The sequence below is a fragment of the Homo sapiens genome, chromosome 10, assembly GCF_000001405.40.
Source record: "Homo sapiens chromosome 10, GRCh38.p14 Primary Assembly".
In the NCBI taxonomy this organism is placed as follows: domain Eukaryota; kingdom Metazoa; phylum Chordata; class Mammalia; order Primates; family Hominidae; genus Homo; species Homo sapiens.
The window spans coordinates 62,822,178-62,845,959 of NC_000010.11; the positions used below are offsets into that span (position 1 = coordinate 62,822,178).

The following is a 23,782-nucleotide window of genomic DNA, read 5'->3' on the forward strand; positions in this document are numbered from 1 at the left end:
AGAATGGTCACTATTTCTCATGATTACGGTTAAGATTATAGGCTCTGGAGGCCTATATGGCCTGGATTTAAATCCTGAGGTCCTGGGTTCAAACCCAAATCCTGACACTACCTGGCTATATGTACTTAAACATCTAGGTAGTCAAAAGTTCTGGCCAGACGCGATGGCTCATGACTGTAATCCTAGCCCTTTGAGAGGCTGAGGCAGGCAGATCATGAGGTCAAGAGATCGAGACCATCCTGGCCAACATGGTGAAACCCTGTCTCTACTAAAAACACAAAAATTAGCTGGGTGTGGTGGCACGCACCTGTAGTCTCAGCTACTCGGGAGGCTGAGGCAGGAGAATTGCTTGAACCTGGGAGGTGGAGGTTGCAGTGAGCCAAGATCACGCCACTGCACTCCAGCCTGGCAACAGAGTGAGACCCCATCTCAAAAAAAAAAAGGAAAAAAAATAACAAAAAAAAACTTCCATAACTTCTGTGTGCCTCTATTTCCTCCTATATAAAGTGGACAGAATGATTATAGAGTTATTTTAAGGATTAAATATAATAATATATGTAAAACCCATAGCATATTGTCAGTATATAATAACTATTCAGTAATTGTTAGCTATTAAATCATTACTATTATTGACTGTTCACTCTGCACCAGACACTTTACTATGTTCTAGGTTCATTGCTTCATTCCTCACAACCACCTTGAGAAACAGGTCTGTTTATTCTCATTTTACTGATGAGGGAACTAAAGCTCAGGGAAGATACACAGCTCACCCAAGTTCACACAGAACCAGAATATGAACTCTGTTCTCTCAATCACCAAAGCCCACATGTTTCAAGTACATTATATAATGTAGAACAACCCACAGCAGATAAAAGCAAGACAGTGGCCATACTTCAAACATTGATATATGAAGTATTTGTCGCTTTTTTCCAAAATTCTGAGCTTCAGCTTCCAAGAACATTGATAATATCATTACTGAGCAGGCGAAAAAGGAACCCAGAAGGCAGAGGTTATTGGCATGTAATTTAAAACAAGCTATACCTTTGTGGAAAATGTCATCTAAACTTGGAAAGCCAAGTTCCACATTAATAATAATCTAATTAATATATCATCTTTTTTTCCAGTGAGACCATAATGCATAATAATAGCACTGTTGTTCTTCCAAGGAGGTTTGGGAATATAGAACCAAAATATAAAATTTAGGAAGAATGGGTTAGCAAATTTCCTGCGAAATCTAGAGACAGTGCTCCATAAGGGGCATTCTTAGCCTTGTACAACCCATGTAGGAGCATGTCCCCGTGGGATCTTCTCACATATTCTCCATGCCATTACTTTTTCAACTTTATTATAAATCTCCTTAAGGCAGGGACATCAGAAATGTGTTCTCTGTTTATATTCCAATCAAGCAAAGTTCTGGATAGGAATCCAATATATGCCTTTCCAGTGACGAGAGGCATCTGAGATTTTTATACTATCTTGTCAGATAATTCCCAATTAATTCTACCCATCCCACTGCATGCTATGTCTAACAGTTTCTTAGGGAGATGTTGTATTCAGAACAAGGGCAAGGACCCTAGAAAGCATCCTCTGAAGGGTTTGTCCTCAGATATCCCCTTTTGCAGAGGTTTAAATCATTAAGGTCTGAGGGGCCACTCTCTGTCTTCAGGATAGTGAGTGCTACTGACATGGTAGCAGCCAGCAGTGAGCCATCCCCTCTCCTTCCTGACTCCTCTCCCACCTACTACTAGTCCCAGATGCAGGGCAATCCAGGTAGCCTGGGGAATGGAAAGGACTCAAGGCACAGAGTTTCAGTTCTGCCTCTGACAATGGCTGATGGTGCTATTTGGGGTAGGTGGTTGATGCTAGAAGGCACCACCTGTGCTTGCTGCAGTCACATCACTCAAACCTTTAGTGACAGCCTTGGGAGATAGGCTTTTCTTTCCCTGTATCCAGTGATGCTTCTTAACCTCATGCCACAAAGAGGTAGAGACATCACATCCCCTTGTGCCTGCCAGAATTTTAAGTAGCAGCCAAGGGGGCCATAATGTTTAGAAAAAGAGTTTTACATCTTCACTATTTTGAGTGAGAAAGGTGGAGGGAGCAGGGGAGAGGATTGGGCAGAAAGAAAATGCAAGAAGCTGGTGCTGGGTACAACACTGTGTACTGGAAATACCATGAGATTAGGAATTGGCCTTAATAGTTGCCTCTCCATCATAATAATGGTTGATATTTATTGAGCATTTCAGGATGCTAAACACTTTCATGACTGGGATGCTTTATCTGTTTTAATCTACCAATCACACTATGAAGCAGATATCATTATACTCAGGAAACTGAGTCACCAAAGCCCAAGTTGCAGAGCTGATTAAGTGGAAGTGCCAAGACGTGAACCCAAGTAGTCTGACTCCATTACTGGTGTTCCCAGTACCTACTCTAACCGGTGTAACTAGACAAGTGACTTAGCATCTCTGAGCCTCTGTTTCTTCATCTTGAAAATGAGACTGGGTATTCCTGCACTAAGTGCCATTGGCCAGAGCATTGCGAGACATCCAAGGAAGACCACATTCTGAAAAGCAGGACAATACTGCAAATATAATTGTTGTCTCCCAGGGCAATTGTTTGGGTTGCTGGGCCTTCAGAGGCAGGGCTGAATATAGATTGGGGTAGGTTGGGAGGCCAAGTTTATGATTCCAGGACAAGGCATCAACCATTGAACTCACTTGTGACTTGTTTGCTTGCTGACCAATCCTAAGGCCCTTTAAAGTGGCCTCTTTTCCTCTCCTCACAGTGCAGAGTGGTCCATATCTGTGTTTTCCTTCTCATGTGGAGATAGGGGAGTGGGGAAATGTCCCTTGGAGTCTTGGGGCCTTTGTAACTAGGCCTTGGTGGGTCTGCTTCTCCTGATACTAATAGCAGGCCCAGACACATGGTCATACTCCTTCTCGCATCCTCATAATTAACTAGATTGTGTGCTTCCCTCTAAGGGCTGTTGTGGTGCCAGTGTGCTCACTACTAACAGAACAATTTCAATCAATGGCCTTGTATGCTCAAAAGAGAGTCTCCCCAGAGACCTGGCAACCCCCAGCCTTTTGGAATTAGACAGATTGCTTTTTTAAAATACGATTATTCAGACAACAACCCATGAACACTTCAAAAAGAGGAAAACTGGAACAATTTATTACAGCCTTTCTTCCCTTTATTTGAATTTCATGAAACAAGCGGCACCAAAAACATGTCCAAAGTGACCATTTTCGTCCTCTCACCTGTTACTCAGAAATCCTAGAGATGGAAGGTGCTTTAACAAGGGAGCTTATTCCTCACTTTTCCTGTGTTTCAGGCTTTTTAAAATCACAGATTGCTCTCACAGAATAGCAAGTAGAGTGGACTGTTACCAGACAAATAGAAACTAGTATCTGGAAGCCCAATATGTATAAATATTAGGTAAAAGATGGGTGGGTGGCTGTAGTGGAACCTGAGTGGACTTGACTCCTTCCCCACTGTGCAAATTCCTGATGAAGAGGACTGAGACACTGTGATGGTTAATACTGAGTGTCAACTTGATTGGATGGAAGAATACAAAGTATTGATCCTGGGCGTGTCTCTGAGGGTGTTGCCAAAGGAGATTAACATTTGAGTCAGTGGGCTGGGAAAGGCAGACCCACCCTTAATCTGGGTGGGCACAGTCTAATCAGCTGCCAGCACAGCTAAAATATAAGCAGGCAGAAAAATGTGAAAAGAGAGACTGGCCTAGTCTCCCAACATACATCTTTCTCCCATGCTGGATGCTTCCTGCCCTAGAACATCAGACTCAGCTTTGGAACTCAGACTGGCTATCCTTGCTCCTCAGCCTGCAGACAGCCTATTGTGGGACCTTGTGATTGTGTGAGATAATACTTAATAAACTCCCCTTTATATATTTATCTATTCCATTAGTTCTGTCCTCTAGAGAACCCTGACTAATAACAGACAGCTTGTCCAAATTCCCTGGGATTTGAAGGCCACTGCTCTAACTTAGAGGCTCAGCCCACATTATGCTGAGCCAGGGGCTGTGGATAAGCAGGTAGGTGAACCAGAGGGTAACTTCTCTCACTTCCAAATGCCCAGACTAGCTCATAGTGTTCCTTTATCCATTCAGCAAATATTTATTAAGCACCTACTATATGCTAGGTATTATGCTAGATGCTTGGAATGCATCAGTGAACAAAACTCCCTGTCTTCATGGAGCTCACATCCTGAAAATTCTTATGAATTTAGTTCCAGGAACCAAAAAAGGGAACTAAGTTTGTAGTGTCTTCCTCTATCTTCAGCCAGAATCACATTTAAACCACCCACACTCAGGTATGAATCTCTCCTAAGGCCATCAGAGAAAGAATACCAAACTTGTTTTAGTAACTCATTCCAGTGTTTAATACGCTCACAAGACATTCTTCAGAGATAGAATACACCTTATTTTAGTAGGCATTTTGTTTTGTTTTTTCCTCAGGAAACCTGATAGAAGTTAGTCACAATGTTCTGGGTAAGAACCAGTCACAGGCTGGAATAGAGCCCTCAAACTTCTCTGTTTAACGTGGATAGAATCTCAGTTTCTATAGCCTGTCCCCAGGATTTTAATGTTTTGAGCCTTTCATCATCCACATCAACTCTCTGATGAATTTCCTCCACACTTCCCAGTGGTTGTAAAGCCCAGTAAGCCACTTTAGGTGCCACTCTACCCTTTCCAAGTCCCTTTCACTCACATTACTTCATATATAACCCTGTGATGTTGGCAAGGCCATGTTCACCTCTCCCACTGCCCAGAGAAGCCAAGTGAGCCCCAGAGGGGCCAAGTGACTTACCTAAGGTCACGTAGCTAGTAATGAGACAGAGGCAGCATTGCCAGCCGGGTCTCCAGGTGCTGAACTTCAGAGTTCTGTCTCATGGGAGCCTCAGCTACCAGTTGGGAAGGCCCAGGTATGTGAAAGCTTGTGCAATCCCTGAGACATTTTGATGGCTGGTGGCCAGTTAACATTTAGGTCATGTGTTTTCTTCCCCAGGTGTGTGCTGACCCTGTTCTGTACCCTGTGTCATATGACCCCTAAAGGTAAGGACTGGTAGCATAAAGTAAAATGATAACCACCATCAACCAGCCAGTTCCTGGCCTTCTAGGTCATCAGAGGCAGGTTGGGGCCCCACCAGCCCTAGGTCCATCCCCATTAGTACTCATTTGTCCCATTTCTGTGAGGTTGGCACTGACTCAGTGATTGCCACCCTCTGGGTTATCAGCCTGTGGTGCAACCAGAAGAGATTCTCATCTGTGTGAGGTGGCTCGAGTGTGGTTGGGTCTTGACTGGGGTGACCAGCCTGACCAGGTGGAGGAGATAGATTCATCCACATCATCAACAGAAGGCTTTGATGGCTTTGTTTTTTTCCAAACTTAGGTAACCTGTGCCACAGTATGCTCAAAAATGATCACCACATTATTTTCAGATGAAGCCATTTGTGTTTGTGGCTAAAATTTGGCCTCATCATAATTCACGTAATGGGTAACACTACACTGCCCTTTCAGTCTTGCCCAGAGGGTTGCAAGAGGGTCCTTAATATAATGAAAGGAATTGGTGTATAGTTACAGGAACTGGCCGGTAACTGTGCTGGGCCATCTTCTGACCTGACTCATTATAAGAATCCTAGTCCCAATAATCTATTGTAGAACAATAATAACAGCAAAGAAAATGCCCTTTAAGAAGCTAATTTTGAAATAATCTGGGTTCCCATTATAATTTTTTTAAAAATCCACTCCTTACCACAACCTGCAAGTCTCTACATCAGGGGTCCCCAACCCCCAGGGCTACAGACTGGCACCAGGAACTGTTAGGAAGTGGGCTGCACAGCAGGAGGTGGAGAGTGAGCATTACTACCTGAGCTCCACCTCCTGTCAGATCAGTGGCGGCATTAGATTCTCATAGGAGCATGAATCCTATTGTGAACTGTCCATGCAAAGGATCTAAGTTGTGTGCTCCTTATGAGAATCTAATAATGCCTGATGATCTGAGGTGCAAGAGTTTCATCCTGAAACCATCCCCCGACCATGTCTGTGGAAAATCTGTCTTCCACAAAACCAGTCCCTGGTGCCAAAAAACGTTGGGGACCACTGCTGTAGATGACCTGGCCTTGTCCTACTTCTCCAATTAACGTGTCTCTCCTCTCTCCCCACTGCTCACCATGCTCAAACATTCCATGCTCCTTCTCATCCTGTGCACCAGCTATTCCCCTTGTCTAGAATGACCCCTGCCCCCACCCTTTGGTCATCCTATGCCTAGTCCTTATTCAAATCTCAACACAAGCCTTCCCTTCCCAACCCTCCCCTCTGTTCCTTGGTCACCCTGACCATTACTGTGATTTATTTTCTTATATTAGGTATATTTTTAGTGAGTATAAGCTCCATGAAGGTAAGGGCAATGCCTATCTGGACGGTCACTGTATCCCCCCACCAACAACAGTGCTGGCACAGAGGAATGTGCAGTAAGCATTTATTGAATGGATGGGATGAATGAGCCAAGATCAGCCAGGTTTGGGATCCACTGCCTTATTACAACCTTTTGCCCTTCCTGAGTCTTAGCTGCCTAATCTGTAAAACAAGAGTATTAGCCTCCGTGGCAGCTAAGGCCCCATACAGCTTTGGCAATCTATAATTTTCTGGCCCTGAGGACCCATAGGGAGCCCAAGGGCTTCAGCCTCAACCATCACCCCAAACTGGACTATAATTTTGTAAATAAGGCAATATCACAAGTCCTGATAAAGGCAAAATATATCAGGCCCATTGAAGAGGTCTCCCTCCTGCCAAGAAAGAGTGGGGTTGTGCTTTTTCCTAGGAAGAGGCTGGATGATCCTTATAGGAATTGTTCCCCATGAAGTCTGTTTGATTGAATCCTGTTGACTTGCTCATGCCAAGGTATTTGCAAATGGATGGAACAAATGAATATTCTGATACATACATGAGCTGTGCTTAGAAGGAAGACTTAACTAAATCTGCAACTACTGGAGCCTCTTTTTAGCTTTTTATCTTTATAAATAAAGATAATTTATCCTTTTTCAATCTTCAGGCAAGTCCCTCAGACTTCATTAATTCTTTCAAATGGATATTCTGCTTAAAGTGACATAGAACATAATGGGAAGGAGACAGTTAATAAGAGGGAAAGAAATGGTTTTTCTACCTAATTAGAGAATAGAACCTTAAAGTAACTTGTATTCTTTGATCTAAGGCAGTTAGGACTGCATATTGCTTTTGAATGAATGCTGCTAAATTTCAGTAAGTAAATACCATTATTATCAACATTTGGCTTTGAATACCCTAATGGCACTCCTGTAGGCTTACTTTAATTTCAATGATGTATTTTAATTTTGGCTATAGAATAGAAACTACAGTTTATATAATTTTTAGAAAATCAAGAACAAGTTGGCTTAATTGGGGCTTGGTTATTTAAAACACACACACACAAATCAATAAATAGTGTGAAGAGAAAATAGTAATGCAAAGAAAGAAGTCACTTTCTTTATTGTCATAGTCCAAAAGTATCCGACCTATCAGGTGTAAATTGTAACTGACAGACACAAAAAGGCCATTTGTTAGAATTGTTGGGCCAATGCTGGCAAAATAAATGAGTAAGCATTTTTGAGACCTACTGAGTGCCAGGCCCTGGGTCAGAGGTTGTAGGAAATGAAAGATGAATGTGAGTCCATGTCTCTTGGAACCCATAGTCCAGAAAGAGGTAAGCTGGGTGCACCCATAAGTAGATTGCACAGAGGACGTGGTAAGTGTGATCAGACATGTTCAAAATGTTGTTACAGGTCCCAAAGAGGGGGACAACAGCTGCAAGTGTAGTAGTTGGGATCAAATAAGGTAAAGTACATGAAGGCCACTCATTTTTCAGACGTGAGTGTTTTCATGTCCTTCATAGCTCAGTAAACCTCTGTACACTATACCTAATACAATGGGATGGCTGTGGGAGATTATCAGTATGCACTAATCAATCAATCAATTGACTTGATTGATACTTAGTAAAAGATAAAGGGAACATATTACAAACACAGTCCTTAGCAACCGATAGGTAGAGTTAATGGATTCTGGGGTTTTACCTGAAGATTGATCAAAAGTTTGGCTACTATAGTTGTAGACCCATAAACATAAGTTCTGTAGGTATCTATCATTTTTAGTTTTCTGAGCTAAGATTATTGAAGCCAATCAAGGGAGGAAAACCCATGCATTTGTACAGCCTAATCAGAAATGAAGGAGGCTGAATTTAGCAGCAACTAAACTTTCTTTTTCCATCCAAATATTCTGAGAATCATGTCCCAGACATCTCACCAACAAGTGGTTGTGTGGCTCTGTCAGGGGAAGAAGCAGGCCCTGAATTGTGCTGGTGTGGTTTTACCTAATAGGTGGATAGAAAATAGAAGTTCAGCTTTGAAAAGTTCATAGGGCTGTCTGCTATGATGTGCAGGCCCCTAAAGACAGCATTTCCCCAGCCACCCTAAACCCTGATCACTGAACCCTCTACAGCTAATCTCACCACTGAACGGCCAGCTTTGCTCTGCATACACTGTGAGATCCCAGGCCCCACCAGGAACAAGCCATGGAGGAACAGCCAACCTGCTCATTTCAGTTTGTTGCCTCAGCCTGCATCTCCACAGGACTCCTGGATGAAATAGGAACTGCGAACACACTTGAGCTGCAGCCGCTGAATTTGGGGCATCTGGAGGAAGCCCATTTCAGGGCAAGACAGCCTCTTGCATTAGGCCAAGAGACCAGAGAAATCAGGAACTTGGGAGGCACGGGGACTTAGCATTCTACCCCACCCACTGCCTTTTATGCAGACTCTGACTCAATTAGAAGCCCAGGGAGGTATAGCAACAAAAATCTGAGGATAGGTAGATGTTAGGAAAGAAAGAAAACCTGTCTCTGGTCCTGGCTTTCAAATTCCCATTTGGAGTAAATTTTCAGAATGGAAATTGATTATTTAACTTCAATGAATTTTTTAAAAAAAGAATGGACTTTTTTTGGTTCTGTCTCAGTGATTTTAATTAATTTTCAGAGGTCTACAGCAATAACTGTTACCTAGAATGCTTTTATGGATAAAATGTGATGAGCTAGATAAAATTAAATGTTAATTGGCATAATTACCCAGTTAATATTTAAAGATTTGTTATCTGCATTCCTCTGCTTTTGCCTTATTGTGCTTTGCAGCTCAATATGAATTTTTTTTAGAAAAAGAATTTTCTCTTCATCTCCCACTGAGTTATTTTTCACTTTGGGTTTGCTGGTTATTAGTCAGAGACGATAATAATAATTTTTTCTTAAAGAGCAGGCTTGCAGCTGAGAATTTCCAAGCTGCAGTGAGTCACCTCTGGAGTAGTCAAGTCATTTATCTCCAAACCTCAGAGTCCAACGTTGTGCCAGGAAAGGGATTCAGGACTCCCCATCCTTGAAACCAAGCATCAATACCATGATTCCCTACCTCATGGCATAGCTGTCTGTAGCTAGTCAGTGTAAGCCACAGTAGTCCCACAAGCAAGCCTCCAAGACAGTCTCTAATTTTCATGTCTCTCAAACCAGTAGCTTTCATGTTCACCCTGCCTCAGCATCACTGCAGACACAAGGTCCCAAACCTATGTCACATTGTCAAACAGTGACAGAGACTCATTAATTGCACAGGACTACCTGTCCAGGTTCCTCTGCAGGAAGGGCCCAGTGTAAGGACCTGGACTATAAGGAGATCCAGCTTGTAGTCCTGTCAATGTTCTACCAATAATTTCAAATCATGGAATGTCAGTGTGGCTCAGTGTTAGGTCTCTCAAACTTCAGTCATTTTTATTTTATTTTGCACTAAAATTTACTTTGTATTTTTCTTTAAATTATTTATTTTCATAAGTAAATATATTTTAAAAGAAAACTTTATATTATTACCACAAAAGAGAAACCTGTATCATTTGGCATAAATAAAAAGGAATCATGAGAATGAATAATACATTAGGGTTTCCAGCCAATACAGGAAAATGGCTGTGAAAGTTCAGCTCCTGGAGGTAAAAAGGATTAAATGCGGAGAAAAGAAACTGGCTCACTGATTAAGACCATAGACTGAGGCAAGCTGTTCACTACCACTTCATATAAATGTGTGTGTGTGTATTATATATATGTGTGTGTATATATATTTGTGTATATATGTGTGTTTATATGTATGTGTATATATATGCATATATATGTAGGTGTATATATGTGTATATATGTGTGTATATATACATACATATGTATATGTGTGTATTTATATGTATATGTATATACACATACATATATGTATATGTGTATATGTGTACACATGTATATTCATATGTATGTATGTATGATGTATGTATGTACATATATGTGTATTATAAACATCCATATGTATGTTTTTATATATACATGTGTATATGTGTGTATGTATGTGTGTGTGTGTGTGTGTGTGTGTAAAAACAGCTGCTGACCCACTGTCTAAGTTTATGGCTTAAAGGAATGTGTAAAGATAGAATCAGCTTCAAGGCTAGGACCTTAGCCAACCACCAGTTAACTTGTTGCTCTGATTTGTGAATGACATAAAAATAGAAAAAGAGAAAATAGCTGATTAGAATCTTGGAAATAAAAAATATGCTAGTGGAAATAAAACAATTGAAAATAATAAAAATCTGGATTAGAGAGAGAGAGTCAGAGAGAGTATTATTAAATGGGAATATGGCATTAAGGAATTTACCAGAATGTAGCACAGACAGAAAAGATGAAGAGGAGATGGAAATGAAGGAGGAGACAAAACAAAAGCAAAAAGGAAGTTCACTTAAGAGACATGTGGATAGATTGAGAGTTTTCTCCAACTCTTTAAATAAGAGTTCCAGAAGCAAAAAAAAAAAATGGAGAGAATAATAGAGAAACATTATATGAAGAGTAATACTTGCAAATTTTATCAAGACAACCTGAGATCAAAGTTGATCAAAGGGTACACAGTTTCAGATAGACATAAGGAATAGGTTTTGAGATCTATTGCACAGCAGGGTGACCATGGTCAAAATAATGTATTGTGAAAAATTAGCCAGGCGTGGTGGCGTGCACCTGTTATCCCAGCTACTCAGGAGGCTGAGGCAGGAGAATTGCTTGAACCCGGGAGGCGGAGGTTGCAGTGAGTCAAGATCGCGCCACTGCACTCCAGCCTGGGAGACAGAGTGAGACTCCATCTCAATAATAATAATAATAGTAATAATCTATTGTGTATTTTGAAGTAACAAAGATAATGCATTTCAAATATCTCACCATAAAAAAATGATGGGTAAGAGAGGTGATAGATATGTTAATTAGCATGAATTAATCATTCCACATTGTTTGGCTATATTGAAACATCAGATTGTACCCCATAATGTGTACAATCATAAGTTGTCAACCAAAAACAATATTAATAATAAAAAGTGTATTGCGGAGCATACCTAGCATGCAGGTCTTGGTTTCTAATACCATTCTCCAATAAAAGGAACCAGGGCTCCTTTAAGAAAAGGCTGATTCTTAGACTGGGGCAGGAAATATACAAGATGAGCCAAAAGGAAAATAATACAATGATGGGGGTGAGCCAAATGATACAGGAACCAACTGAAAGCTACAAGAATTTGAACAAGAAAATAAATATAATTATATTGGGTTATAAGCCAAAGTAGGAAAATGTCCCTTAGTACATATTGATATAAATAAATGATTGAATAAATAAACAAATGGGGAGAATAGATATACTTAATATGCAGAAGAATTTCAAATAATTTATGTAGATACATTGCCCTTAAGAAGGTGGAGCATAATTCCTATTTAAGTGTGAGCTGCACATAGTGATTTTCTTCCAAACAGCACAGTATGGAAAGGGAGGGAAAAATGAGTAACTTTACACTGGAAAAACCTGATAAGCATTACCTCAAGTCAGGTGATCATGGCTAATATCGATAGTGATGTCATTTTCATAGTATGTACCCTTGATACGATGTGATGAGAATGGCACTTTACCCGTGTGATCTTCCTCCATAAAACACATTACCTTGATCTAACAATCAAGAAAACAACAGACAAATCCCTATTAATGTTCATTCTACAAAACACCTGACTAGTAATCTTCACAACTGTCAAGGTCATCAAAAATGAGAAAGCCTCAGAAACTGTCACAACCAATAAGAATCTAAAAAGATAGGACGACTAAATGTAATATGGTATCCCAGATAGGATCCCAGAACTGAGAAAAAAGACATTAGGGAGAAATTGAGAAAACATGAATAAAATATAGATTTTAGTTAATAATAATGTATCAACATTGGTTCACTAATGGGGACAAATGTACCATGCTAATGTAACATGTTAATAATAGAGAAAACTGGATGTGGGATATACAGGAATTCTGTACTATTTTCTCAATGTTTGTGTAAATCTAAAACTGGTCCAGAATTAAAAGTCTAATTATTTTAAAAGTGCATAAGAAGTGACCAAGTAGGATTAAAAAAGGCTCACTGTAATAAAACTGTAGAACATCAAAAATATCCTAAAAGCTATGAAAGTAAAAAGAACACCTACACCTATGACTTACAGTTAAATTTATTTTGATCAGCAGTAATAAAAGCTGGGCAACTATGAAGGTAAATCTCAAATGTGCTGATGAAAAATAAAATAAATGTCGACTTAAAATTTTATACCTACGTAAACTATTACTAGGGAAAGAAGACAAAATCAAGCCATTTTCAACATACTATTTATATACTATTTACATATCTTATGTAAAAAAACAATTCAAGACAGACAATTTTGAAGAATAATTTAGCTGCAGGACTAACACAGATATCAAGATTAATATAAATCTGCATATGTAAACAGTGGTATTGGTCCAAGCATAGGTAAACAGACCAATGGAACAGACTAGGATCTAAAAACAGACGCACCTATCTATGGTCATCTGAATTATGACAAATGTCCCACAGCAATATGAAGGAAAATAATGGACTTCAATCAGTAGTGGTAGATAATTAGCTAGCCATGTGTTACAATGGAATCTTGACCTTACCTCACACTATATACAAAATTCAATTCAAAATGAATCATAGGGCCAGGCGTGGTGGCTCACACCTGTAATCCCAACACTTTGGGAGGCCGAGGCGGGTGAATCACCTGAGGTCAGGAGTTCAAGACCAGCCGGGCCAACATGGTGAAACCCAGTCTCTACTAAAAATACAAAAAATTAGCTGGGTGTGGTGGCATGTGCCTGTAATCCCAGCTACTTGGGAGGCTGAAGCAAGAGAATCACTTGAACCCAGGAGGCAGAGGTTGCAGTGAGCCAAGAGAGCACCATTGCACTCCAGCCTGGGCAACAGAGCAAGACTCCATCTCAAGAAAAAAAAAAATGAATCATAGAACTAAATGTGAAAGGCAAAACAATAAAAATAAACAACTATTTTTATGATCTTGAGGTGGACACAAAATTCTTATAAAGCACATAAAAACACTAAACACGAAGGAAAATATTGTTCTTTAAATTATATTAAAATGAAAAACATATGTTTATTGAAAGATGCATTAAGAGAATGAAAAGTCATACCACATAGTGGGAGAAGATATTTGTCACACATATATCCAATAAAAGTCTTGTACCCAAAACACATTTTTAAAAAACTTCTGCAGAGCGCAGTGGCTCACGCCTGTAATCCCAGCACTTTGGGAGGCCGAGGTGGGCAGATCACGAGGTCAGGAGATCAAGACCATCCTGGCTAACACGGTGAAACCCCATCTCTACTAAAAATACAAAATATTAGTCGGGCATGGTGGCAGGTGCTTGTAGTCCCAGCTACAAGTCCCAGCTTGTAGTCCCAGGCTGAGGCAGGAGAATGGCGTGAACACAGGAGGCAGAGCTTGCAATGAGCCGAGATCGTGCCACTGCACTCCAGCCTGGGTGACAGAGCGAGACTTCGTTTCAAAACAAAAAACAAAACAAAACAAACAAATAAACAAAAACAACTTCTACAAATCAGTTTTTAAAAGACATGCAACCTGATTTTCAAATGGGCAAATAGTTGGGCAGGTATTCCATAAAAGAATGATGTTTATGCCCATAAACATTAAAAATATTTTTTAATATCAAAGTCATCAGGGAAATGCTAGTTAAAACTGCAGAGGGATACCACTACACATCTGCTAGAAGAGCTACCAATTTAAAAATGAAAAATATCAAGTATTGGTGAAGATACAGAGCAACTGGAACTCTTATGTAGTCCTGGGAGGAGGTTATATTGGTAACTGGTTAAATTGGAAAACTGGCAGTATCTTCTGCCACTGAAGATTTACCTAACTCAAAACTGGGCAGTCAAACTCCTAGATATTAAACCAACAGAAATAAATACACACCCCCCCACACACACACACAGATCTGTACTAAAATGAACATAGCAACATTCCTTATAAGAGCCAAAAAACAGGAAACAACCCAAATATCCATCAGAAAAAGAATAGATTAAAAAATTACATTTTATGCAGACGATAGACTACTACCCAGCAATTTAAAAAAAACTACTTGCAATGATGTGGATAAATCTTACAGACATAATGCTGAATAAAAGAAGACGGACCTATATGCATGCATGACCCCATTTATACAAATTTCAAAAACAGCCCAAATTCATCTATGGTGAATCTCAGCTCTGTCATTTTTTAGTAAGTTGCTCTCTGTGCCTCTGTTTCCTCATCTGTAAAATAAAGGCGATAATGGTGCCTACTTCTTAGGATTGTATGTAGAAAGATTATGCAACATGAGGTAACTAACAAACACGGTGCTTGGCCCATGGCATTATGTAGCTATTATTATTATTATTATTGCTGTTATTGGTATTGTCACGTTTAACCCTGAGGAAAAGAAAAGAAAAAACATGTATTGAATTCTCACTTGTCACTCTCTGTGTTACCTCTCAATTCTCACAGAAACTTCATGAGATGGGCATTATCATTCTCATTTTGCAGCTGAGAACAGCAAGGCTCAGATACATCATGGGCTGAATCCAGACATGAACCCAGGTCTGTCTCTACCATACTCTATGGGAATAGAGTATAAGTGTACATGGAGGGGGAGAGGGAGAGGTGATCACTTTGGACTGAAGAGGCTTCTAAGATAACTCAAAGGAAGATGCTTATCCCTGAGTCTCATACCCACCTAGACCTCAGGTAATTCCAAGTGAACATTATATGGAATTGCTGCAGAAGACATAAGATAATAAATAGTAATGGGGGGTTTTATTTAGGAATTAACATTTAGCTACTCTTCAAATTATAAACTGTGGAGATCTAAAAACATTTTTTAAGATATTAAATTCATTTGAATGCATTTAAATATTGAAGGGTTATGATTAATGAAAGTTCTAATAATTATTAATGTCCAGGTTTTTCCAACATCAAACCATCATTTAGGTTAGCGATTCCTATCTAGACTATAATAAACATTCATCCTGAAAACATCTGTTTTTATTCCACAAACCTAATATGTATTTGCCTAAAAAATTAACAAATAAAGGGCTGGGCGCGGTGGCTGACGCCTGTAATCCCAGCACTTTGGGAGGCCAAGGCCGGCGGATCATGAGGTCAACAGACAGAGACCATCCTGGTGAAACCCTGTCTCTACTGAAAATACAAAAAAATTAGCCAGGAGTGGTGGTGGGCGCCTGTAGTCCCAGCTACTCGGGAGGCTGAGGCAGGAGAATGGCGTGAACCCGGGAGGCGGGGTTTGCAGTGAGCCGAGATGGTGCCACTGCACTCCAGCCTGGGCAACAGAGCAAGACTGTCTCAAAAAAAAAAAAAAAAAAATTAACAAATGAAGTAAAAGATTAGCAATAATAATATAATAGTAAACATTTATTAAGCACTTAAAGTGTGCCAGACATCATTATAAGCAACCTACATACATCATTAGCTCATTTACTATCTCAACAATCTTATGAATTGTTATTATTGTTCCTATCTTGCCAATAGGAAACTGAGGTACAGAGATATTAGGCGTCAAAAGTTACATAGCCTGTAAGAGAAGATTCAGTGTGTGACCCCAGGCAGTCCAGTACCAGAACCTGCACTCCTGACTACCCTATGACAAGAATGCTTATCCAAAAGTGATTTAAAATAGAGGAAATCTAAAAACAACTTAAAGGTCCATAAATTAGGGTAAATTTCCAATATGGAATAGTTACATAACCACTAAAAACATGTTTTTCAGAAAAATTCAATGATATAGGAAATGTTTATGAAAATAAAAAACAGAAAGGTGAATATAATAATAAATGACATGGACTGAGTGATTACTATGTTTCAGGCTCTATTCTACATGATTTATAATGGACTATCTCAATTAATTATCACACTAACTTTGAGACAGGTACCATTTTCATCCCCATTTTACAAATGAGAAAAACTTCCAGGAGTTAAATAATTTTCTCAAAATACAGACCCTGGGATTCAAATGCAAATTGTCTGAAACTGGAAACAATGTTCTTAAATAGTACTCTACACAACTTCTACTTTATTCTCCTATAAAATTGAATGTAAATTACAAGCACCCATTAATTAATTCATTCAACAAATATTTATTGAACATTTCATATATCTCAGGTATACCTTAGCAATGGGACTACCGCAGTGAACAGGCAGATAAAGCTCCTCCATTATATTCTAGTGGGAAATTAAAACATCAAACCACTCATTATAATAAAGTTTAATGAGCACTATGACAAGGGCAACTAGTAGTCTAATTAATTCCTGGTATGACGAGTCCCTTCTAAATCCTATTATTTTTATATATTAGTCTGGGCAGGACACAGTTCAGATGATCAGTGAGCACTCCACACATCCACTGCATGAGAGAATCAATCTCTATTTGTTTCTTACTCAATGATTGCCGTAACCTGCCACCCAGGCCACAGACTGGACCAAGACTGGCCAAAAGTAGCTATCCTTATGCAATGATTGTCATGCCCTGGTATTCTGAGTGAGAATAAGAGGGAAAGAGAGGAGGGGGCTGAGGATTCAAGTAGGCACGTTCCAGATAAAAAGACTTGAAGGAAATCTACCATAATGCTATCTCCAGAAAACTTGATGGCTTATCTCCAGATAGACGGAGTTGAGTGATGTTATTTTCTCTGTGTACTTTTGTATTTTCCATATTTTCTACAGTGGATAATGCTTCATATGTATAGTTTTCAAAACTCTAGACCATTTGCACACTGATAGTAAATTGTAGAAAACATAAAATAATCAGTTAAAGAGATTTAGGACTTTTCTGACTATAGGAGCCAAAACGCTATATCAATTTTGTTTATTTGTTTGTTTTTTAATTGTGTAAAATACACATAACATAAAATGTACCACATTGCCAATTTTTAAGTGTATAGTTCTGTGGCAATAAGTATATTCACATTCTTGTGCAACCATCATCACCATCCATCTCCAGAACTCTTTTAATCTTGCAAAACTGAAACTCTATGATGATTGAAAAATACCTCCTCATTCCCCTCCCCACAGCCCCTGGCAACCACCATGCTACTTTCCATCTCTATGAATTTGAGCACTCTATGTTCCTCATGTAAGTGGCATGATACTTTCCTTTTGTGACTGGCTTATTTCACTTCCCATAATGTCCTAAAGGTTCATTCGTTGTCTCAGTCCATTCAGGCTGCTGAAACAGAATACCTCGAACTGGGTGGGTTATAAACAAAAGAAATTTATTTTCCACAGTTTTGGAGGCAAGAAGTTCAGGATCAGAGTGGCAACAGATTTGATGTCTGGTGAGGGACCATTTCCTGGTTCATAGAAGGCCATCTTTGAGCTATGTCCTCACATAGGAAAAGGTGCAAGAGAACTTTCTGGGGTCTCTTTTATAAGAACACTAATCCCATTCATAAGGGCTTGACCCTCATGACCTAATCACTTCTCAGAAGCCCCAACTCCTAATACCATCACATGGGAAGTTAGGATTTCAACATATGAATTTCAGAGGACACAAACATTTAGTCCCTAACATCAATGTTACACGTGTCAAAATTTCCTTTTTTTAAAGACTGAATAATATTCCACTGAATTTATATATAACATTTTGTTTATCTATTCATCTGTTGATGGACACTTGGATTGCTCCCACCTTTTGGCTATTATGAATAATGTTGCTGTGAACATGGGTGTGCAAATATGTCTTAGAGTCTCTACTTTCAATTATTTTGGGTATACGCCCCAAAGTGGAATTTTTGGATCATATGGTAATTCCACATTTAATTTTTTGAGGAACTGCCATACTGTTTTCCATAGAAACTGTATCATTTTACATTCCCACCAACAGTGCACAGTGTTCCAATTTCTCCATAGGCTCATCAACACTTGTTATTTTCGAATTTTTGATAATAGTCATCCTAATGAGTATGAGGTAGTATCTCCTTGTGGTCTTGATTTGCATTTCCCTAATGATTAGTGATGTTGAGCATCTTTTGGTGCGCTTATTGGCCATTTGTATATCTTCTTTGGAGGAACGTCTATTCAAGTCCTTTGCCCATTTGTTTGTTTTACTGCTGTTGAATTGTAGGAGTTCTTTACATATTCTGATATTAACCCTGTATCAGATATATTATTTGCAAATATTTTCTCCCATTCCATGGATTCTGTTTTTACTCCACTAATTGTGTTATACCCATTTTAAATTAGATATTTCCATTAGGGTGAGGACATGAAGAAAACTATGAGTCTTTTTTCCAGGCCAGCAATTTCTGCTGGGCCCAGTAAAGCAAGGATAGTCCCAAGTCTGTGGCCAGCCATTCAGAGGTATAGACCTGATGTTGTGACTTTTAAAATGAGGAAATATAGCAGAAGTAATGAAATCTCAGACCAGTCTTTGACATGTCTCTCCCCTGACTCCACATCCAGACAACTTGCCATGCCCTCCCAATTCTTTCTTCTCCAGTATGATCACATCCACTCCTCCTTCCCATCGTTCTTCTGCCACCCTTATTCAGACTTCTATGATTCTACTCTAACAGATTTTTTAAGTGCTTGCGGTTGTTCAGAATGCCATTGTGAAAAATAAAGGCTGCAAATGAAATGTCCTAGGTCCAGATAAAACTGAGAAATGATGGATTAATAAAAACGAAACACATTTTTATTGCAGGACTTCTCAGAGCCTATACTATGCTAAAGAGGATTACATATCTCAAAGTAGAGATGTGTAAAGGTTTTCTAAGGTTATTTAGCTGCTGAACACATTTAGCAAGGTGGGTGCGAGAACCACTGTTAACTTTTAATAGGACATGGAAAATGCTAAAATATGGCAATAATCTCTCTGCCTCCAGTGTCATAGTCCCCCAAACTTCTGGTCTCCCAGCTGAATTAATCTGCCTAAGATGCCACCCTGAGATATCTCTTATTGGCTACCAAGGGAAGTATATCAAAGGCTAATTGAGAAGTAGGTCTAACTTATCCTTTGAGAATGCTTGCTGACTACTCCCCCACACAAACTCTACACTTCCAGCAAACTGGACTGAGTGTCCTATCCAGAAAAGGTACAGCCTTTTTCATCTTCCTACAGGCAGAAGGAATCACTCCCTCATCCAGATTCCCTAACACCTTCCATTGCAAAATACCATCATTATCTGTATGTTGCATTGATCCTCATATTGGGGTTTTTTTTTTTGAAGGAAGGAGACTGTCCCTTTCTCATCTTTGAATTCTTTGTATTTCCTCTGTCTACCAAAAATAAACCTTAAAAAAATTACACAAGTAATAAATAAATACATGCTTGTAAAAATCCAAACACCACCAAAATACATAGAGGAAAAACAATCTATTCTCTACTCTTACCCTGTTCTAACAGGAAATTTCCATCAATAATTAACTGTGTATCTTTCAAACCCTTATTTACATTTAAGTGTATGTGTGTGTAAAATATACTTTTGATTATAATTTTATTTGTTAAGACACAAATGAAATTATGAATATATCTACTCTGCTATGACCTGCATTTTTCACTTTACCATATGTCTTGAAGATCTTTCTGTGTCATTACATATAGATCAAATGCAGTTCTAGTGGCTTCATGACATTCCATTTATGGAGGTACTATTCTATATTTAACTATTCTCCTTGACAATTTAGTTTGCTTCTTAATTTCACAATTAAAAATTAATGCTGCAATTAACATTCTTGTACATATATATTTATGTTCATTATATGAGTGATTGGATCTGTAAAATAAGGATATAATACTGGGCAAATGCTAAAAATGTAAAATTTTGATGTTAACAAATTTTCCACTAAAAAGCCAATAATAACAATAAGTGTGTGTTTAATGAATATGTTTCAAATTATAATGTTCTAAAGTGCTTATCTCTCTGGTCCAGTGCCCAGCACAGAACCACATACAAACAGACAGTCAATACATATTCCTGTTTAGCAACAGTAGTAATCATTTTTACAAATTCCTATCAGTTGAATACAAGATGGGTAATAATTTCTGTGAAAGTAATCTATGGGTCTTAGCTGGCCACAAGCTTAACATAAGGCAAGATAAAGTAGTACCTTAAAAACAAACAAAAAAACCCAAATATTTCGTTGCATAAATAGAAGCATAAGTTTTAGATCACAGGACCTAATAGTCAGTTCAATTCAACAAACAAATTGTATCCCACAGGCTCATACAAGTCAGACTACATATTTTTCAATGAGGGACACTGGTTACAAGGAGGTCACTGACAACCTGGGGTTTACTCAAGATGATAAAAGCTCTAATGCCATGTTACATGAGGCAGAATAGGAAAACTGGGATATTTAACCTAGAGAGGAGAAAACCTAGGCAGCCCATGATAGCCATCTTGAAACAACACAAAAGGCTGACGTGGAGAAAGAGGAAGCAGATATATTCTCTAAACCAGCACTAAAGGTGGACTTGTCAGGCAGAGAGATTTCAACCAGTATGAGCTGACCACTTGCTAACCACTTAGGTCATTCAACAATGAAATGAGCTGTCTCATGAGGTAATGGGGTTCCCACCCCTGAAGAGGTTACAGAAGAGGGGTGTGGACTTTTAAGGATCTTGCAAAGGCTCCCATGAAGGGTAAGGCATCTCCAGGTGTCCCATAAGCAGGGACAGAAACTATCTTCCTAAGGACAAAGGAATGAGCTCCTGGTCTATTTTCCATTTATTCCAGCACCTCAACCTGTAGGACCTTAAACAATTGTTTCCTAACATCCTGATCCCTGGTGGGAAAAGAGAGCCAAGATGACAGAATCCAAGGATGAAGAAAGCTCTGAAAAACGGAAGGGAAAGTTACAAAGAAGAAAAAACAAATAATACTGAAAACAAGCATTGTCTTTGCTCAGTTCTCTCATCTCTCTTTCCTCTGCTTCTTCTCAACCCTCAGGCTCCCCATAATCCTCCCTTCCACCATATCCCAGGACTTTCCTGCCCCAAAGGATAATGTCTGATAATTAACCCTAAACACAGGTGTAACAAACAGGATCAGTCTCAAGAGCTCATTTCCATCAATTGATAATGCCTGGCAAGAGCCCTGATTGGGAGGGATTCTGACGATGCATCTGGGCAATTGATTAGCACTGTCTGCTTTAAGCTGTGCAATAGGAAGTGGTGGCACACATGCCATAGAGTTGATAAGCTTGCACTAAGATGCACTAAGATGTTAGTATTTGCAAATCCCTAAGAAGGAATGAAACGTAAGTTTCACAAAACATCGTGGGAAGAGGGCAATGCTTAACCCCTAAAAGGGGGCTTAGTAATAAAGGAGATAGAAATCCCTGTGGCATTTTAGTGGAGGCCCCATCTGAAAGAATGAAGTACCTCCCAATATCCCTCTAATCCTACCAGAGAGGTGACCTCCAGTTCCATTCCCTGTTGGACAGGCTCTGGGGGCCAAAGAGAGAAGGTGGATGCAAACATCTTCTGTATCAAGTGTTTCTGACTTCAGTTCTGGAGATCAGGACAAATGGATTTTTGTCTAGAATTGACCACGCTCATCTCTCCCATTTCCCATGCCAAGTCCTGAACCAAGGAACTGAGTGGAGAAATGACTTCCCAAACTTTACACACTTTCCTCCAGCATTTGAATTCATGGCTACCTGTGCCCTGATCCTGCAAGGGCCACGAGCCTCTTTCAAGTGTCTCATTGCTCCTGGGCCAGACTCAGGTCGTCTGTCCCTCACCAGGTAACTCTGCCCACTCCCTGAGGCTCCCGCCTACCTCTCGGAGGCCTGTTCCAAGTATTATGGTGATGTCAGTGGCTTCTGGCTCCCTGCCTGAAGCCCACGCTTTCCTCTACAACAAAAATGCTTCAATTCTTCTGCCCTCATCGCCTTTTAAGTTGTCTCTCCTCAGCCTGCCACAAAGGGCTCTGTTCTCCCTTTGGTGTCTCCTCAGCACAGAGTCAAGACTGCTCCAGGGCAAGGGTTAAGGTTAGTGGGGGTGAGTGGGAGACACTCAGGGCCTCTCACACACACTTTTCACTGCATGTTGAGGAAACTGAGACCCAGAGAGGAAAAGGGACTCACTCAAGATGATGCAGAGATGATAGTGGAGATGAGGCAGGGACCTGGGTTTCCCCACATGCCATCTGGTCTTCCCACCCCATGAGCCTCTGTGTGGCAGCACAGGCCGGGACTGCTTAATTTGGTTATTACCTTATACTCTTTCAAAACAAAGCTCCCTCTCTGTCTCCCTTCTCTCCTCCTTTTCTTCCTCCTTCTCTCCTTCTTGTCCTTGTGTCTGGCTCTTCTCACACCTTTCTCTGTCTCTCATCAACATCTCTTTTCCCCTTCTCTCCACCTCAGTTCTTTTCTTCTCTTTCTCTTCCTTTCCCTCCCTTTTTCCTCTCTCTCTTTCCATCTGACAACAAATGAAGAAGAGCTGTTTCCTCCACAAAATTGGTGTCCTCCCTAAGCTTCAAAGGGGGCCTTGCACAGGACCAGAGGAGAAGAACTGGGGTAATCCCCTCTTGGTTAACAAACTGGGTCACACTCCTTCAGGCTCCATTCTTGGACCCCACAATCTGGGTATTCTATTTTCTTTCGAAAAGGGTGCAATTTTATTTTCCTTTATTTTTTGCTTGACTAGATATAGACACAATCATATCATGTAAAGGTGGAGTGTTCTGCTATTGATAAAGTGTTCCCCCTGTTGGATTTTGGGGGTCAGTGAGGAGGGGGGAATGGGGAGGAAGGGTGGAAGCCACCTGGAAAGTGAGCACTCACCGAGATGCCGACGTTATCTGATGAAGCAGGTCAGTGTGTTCTGCTTCAAACATTGTTAACAATGAGAGAGGAGTAGGAGTGCAGGTTTTGCAACCAGATACCTGCATAATGTGTAATAAATAGGGAACACAGATGAGATGGCCTTTTATTATTTTTCTAATCTATGCTGTCAGGTTTCACTTATGAAATGGGGGAGAGACAAAGCAGACATTTCTCTCCGGGGTCCTCAGCATGTTGCCCTTGGTGGGCCTGGGGCTACTCCTCCCCTGAGGACTCACAGTGTAGACTAGGCTTGGCCACTCGGGTGCTGAAAGATAATCTCTCCCAAACCCACAAGTGTTGGTCTTATGGAAAGAGCGCTATATGAAGAGTTAAGAAATGAGGAGTGTTTATCTCAACACAGCTTCATACCTGCTATGTGATCCTGAGTTAACAATTTGTCTTTCCAATGCCTGGATTTTCTCTTGCCTGGAATGAAGAAATTGAACTGGATGG

General features: G+C 39.9%; 1 annotated feature.

Annotated features, from left to right (window-relative positions):
• Positions 20,833 to 20,992: an enhancer, noted in NCBI's record as "active region_3432". NCBI's record gives its function as "activates an Ori minimal core promoter by ATAC-STARR-seq in GM12878 lymphoblastoid cells {active_cell/tissue: GM12878}" and the evidence as "EXISTENCE:reporter gene assay evidence [ECO:0000049][PMID:35858748]".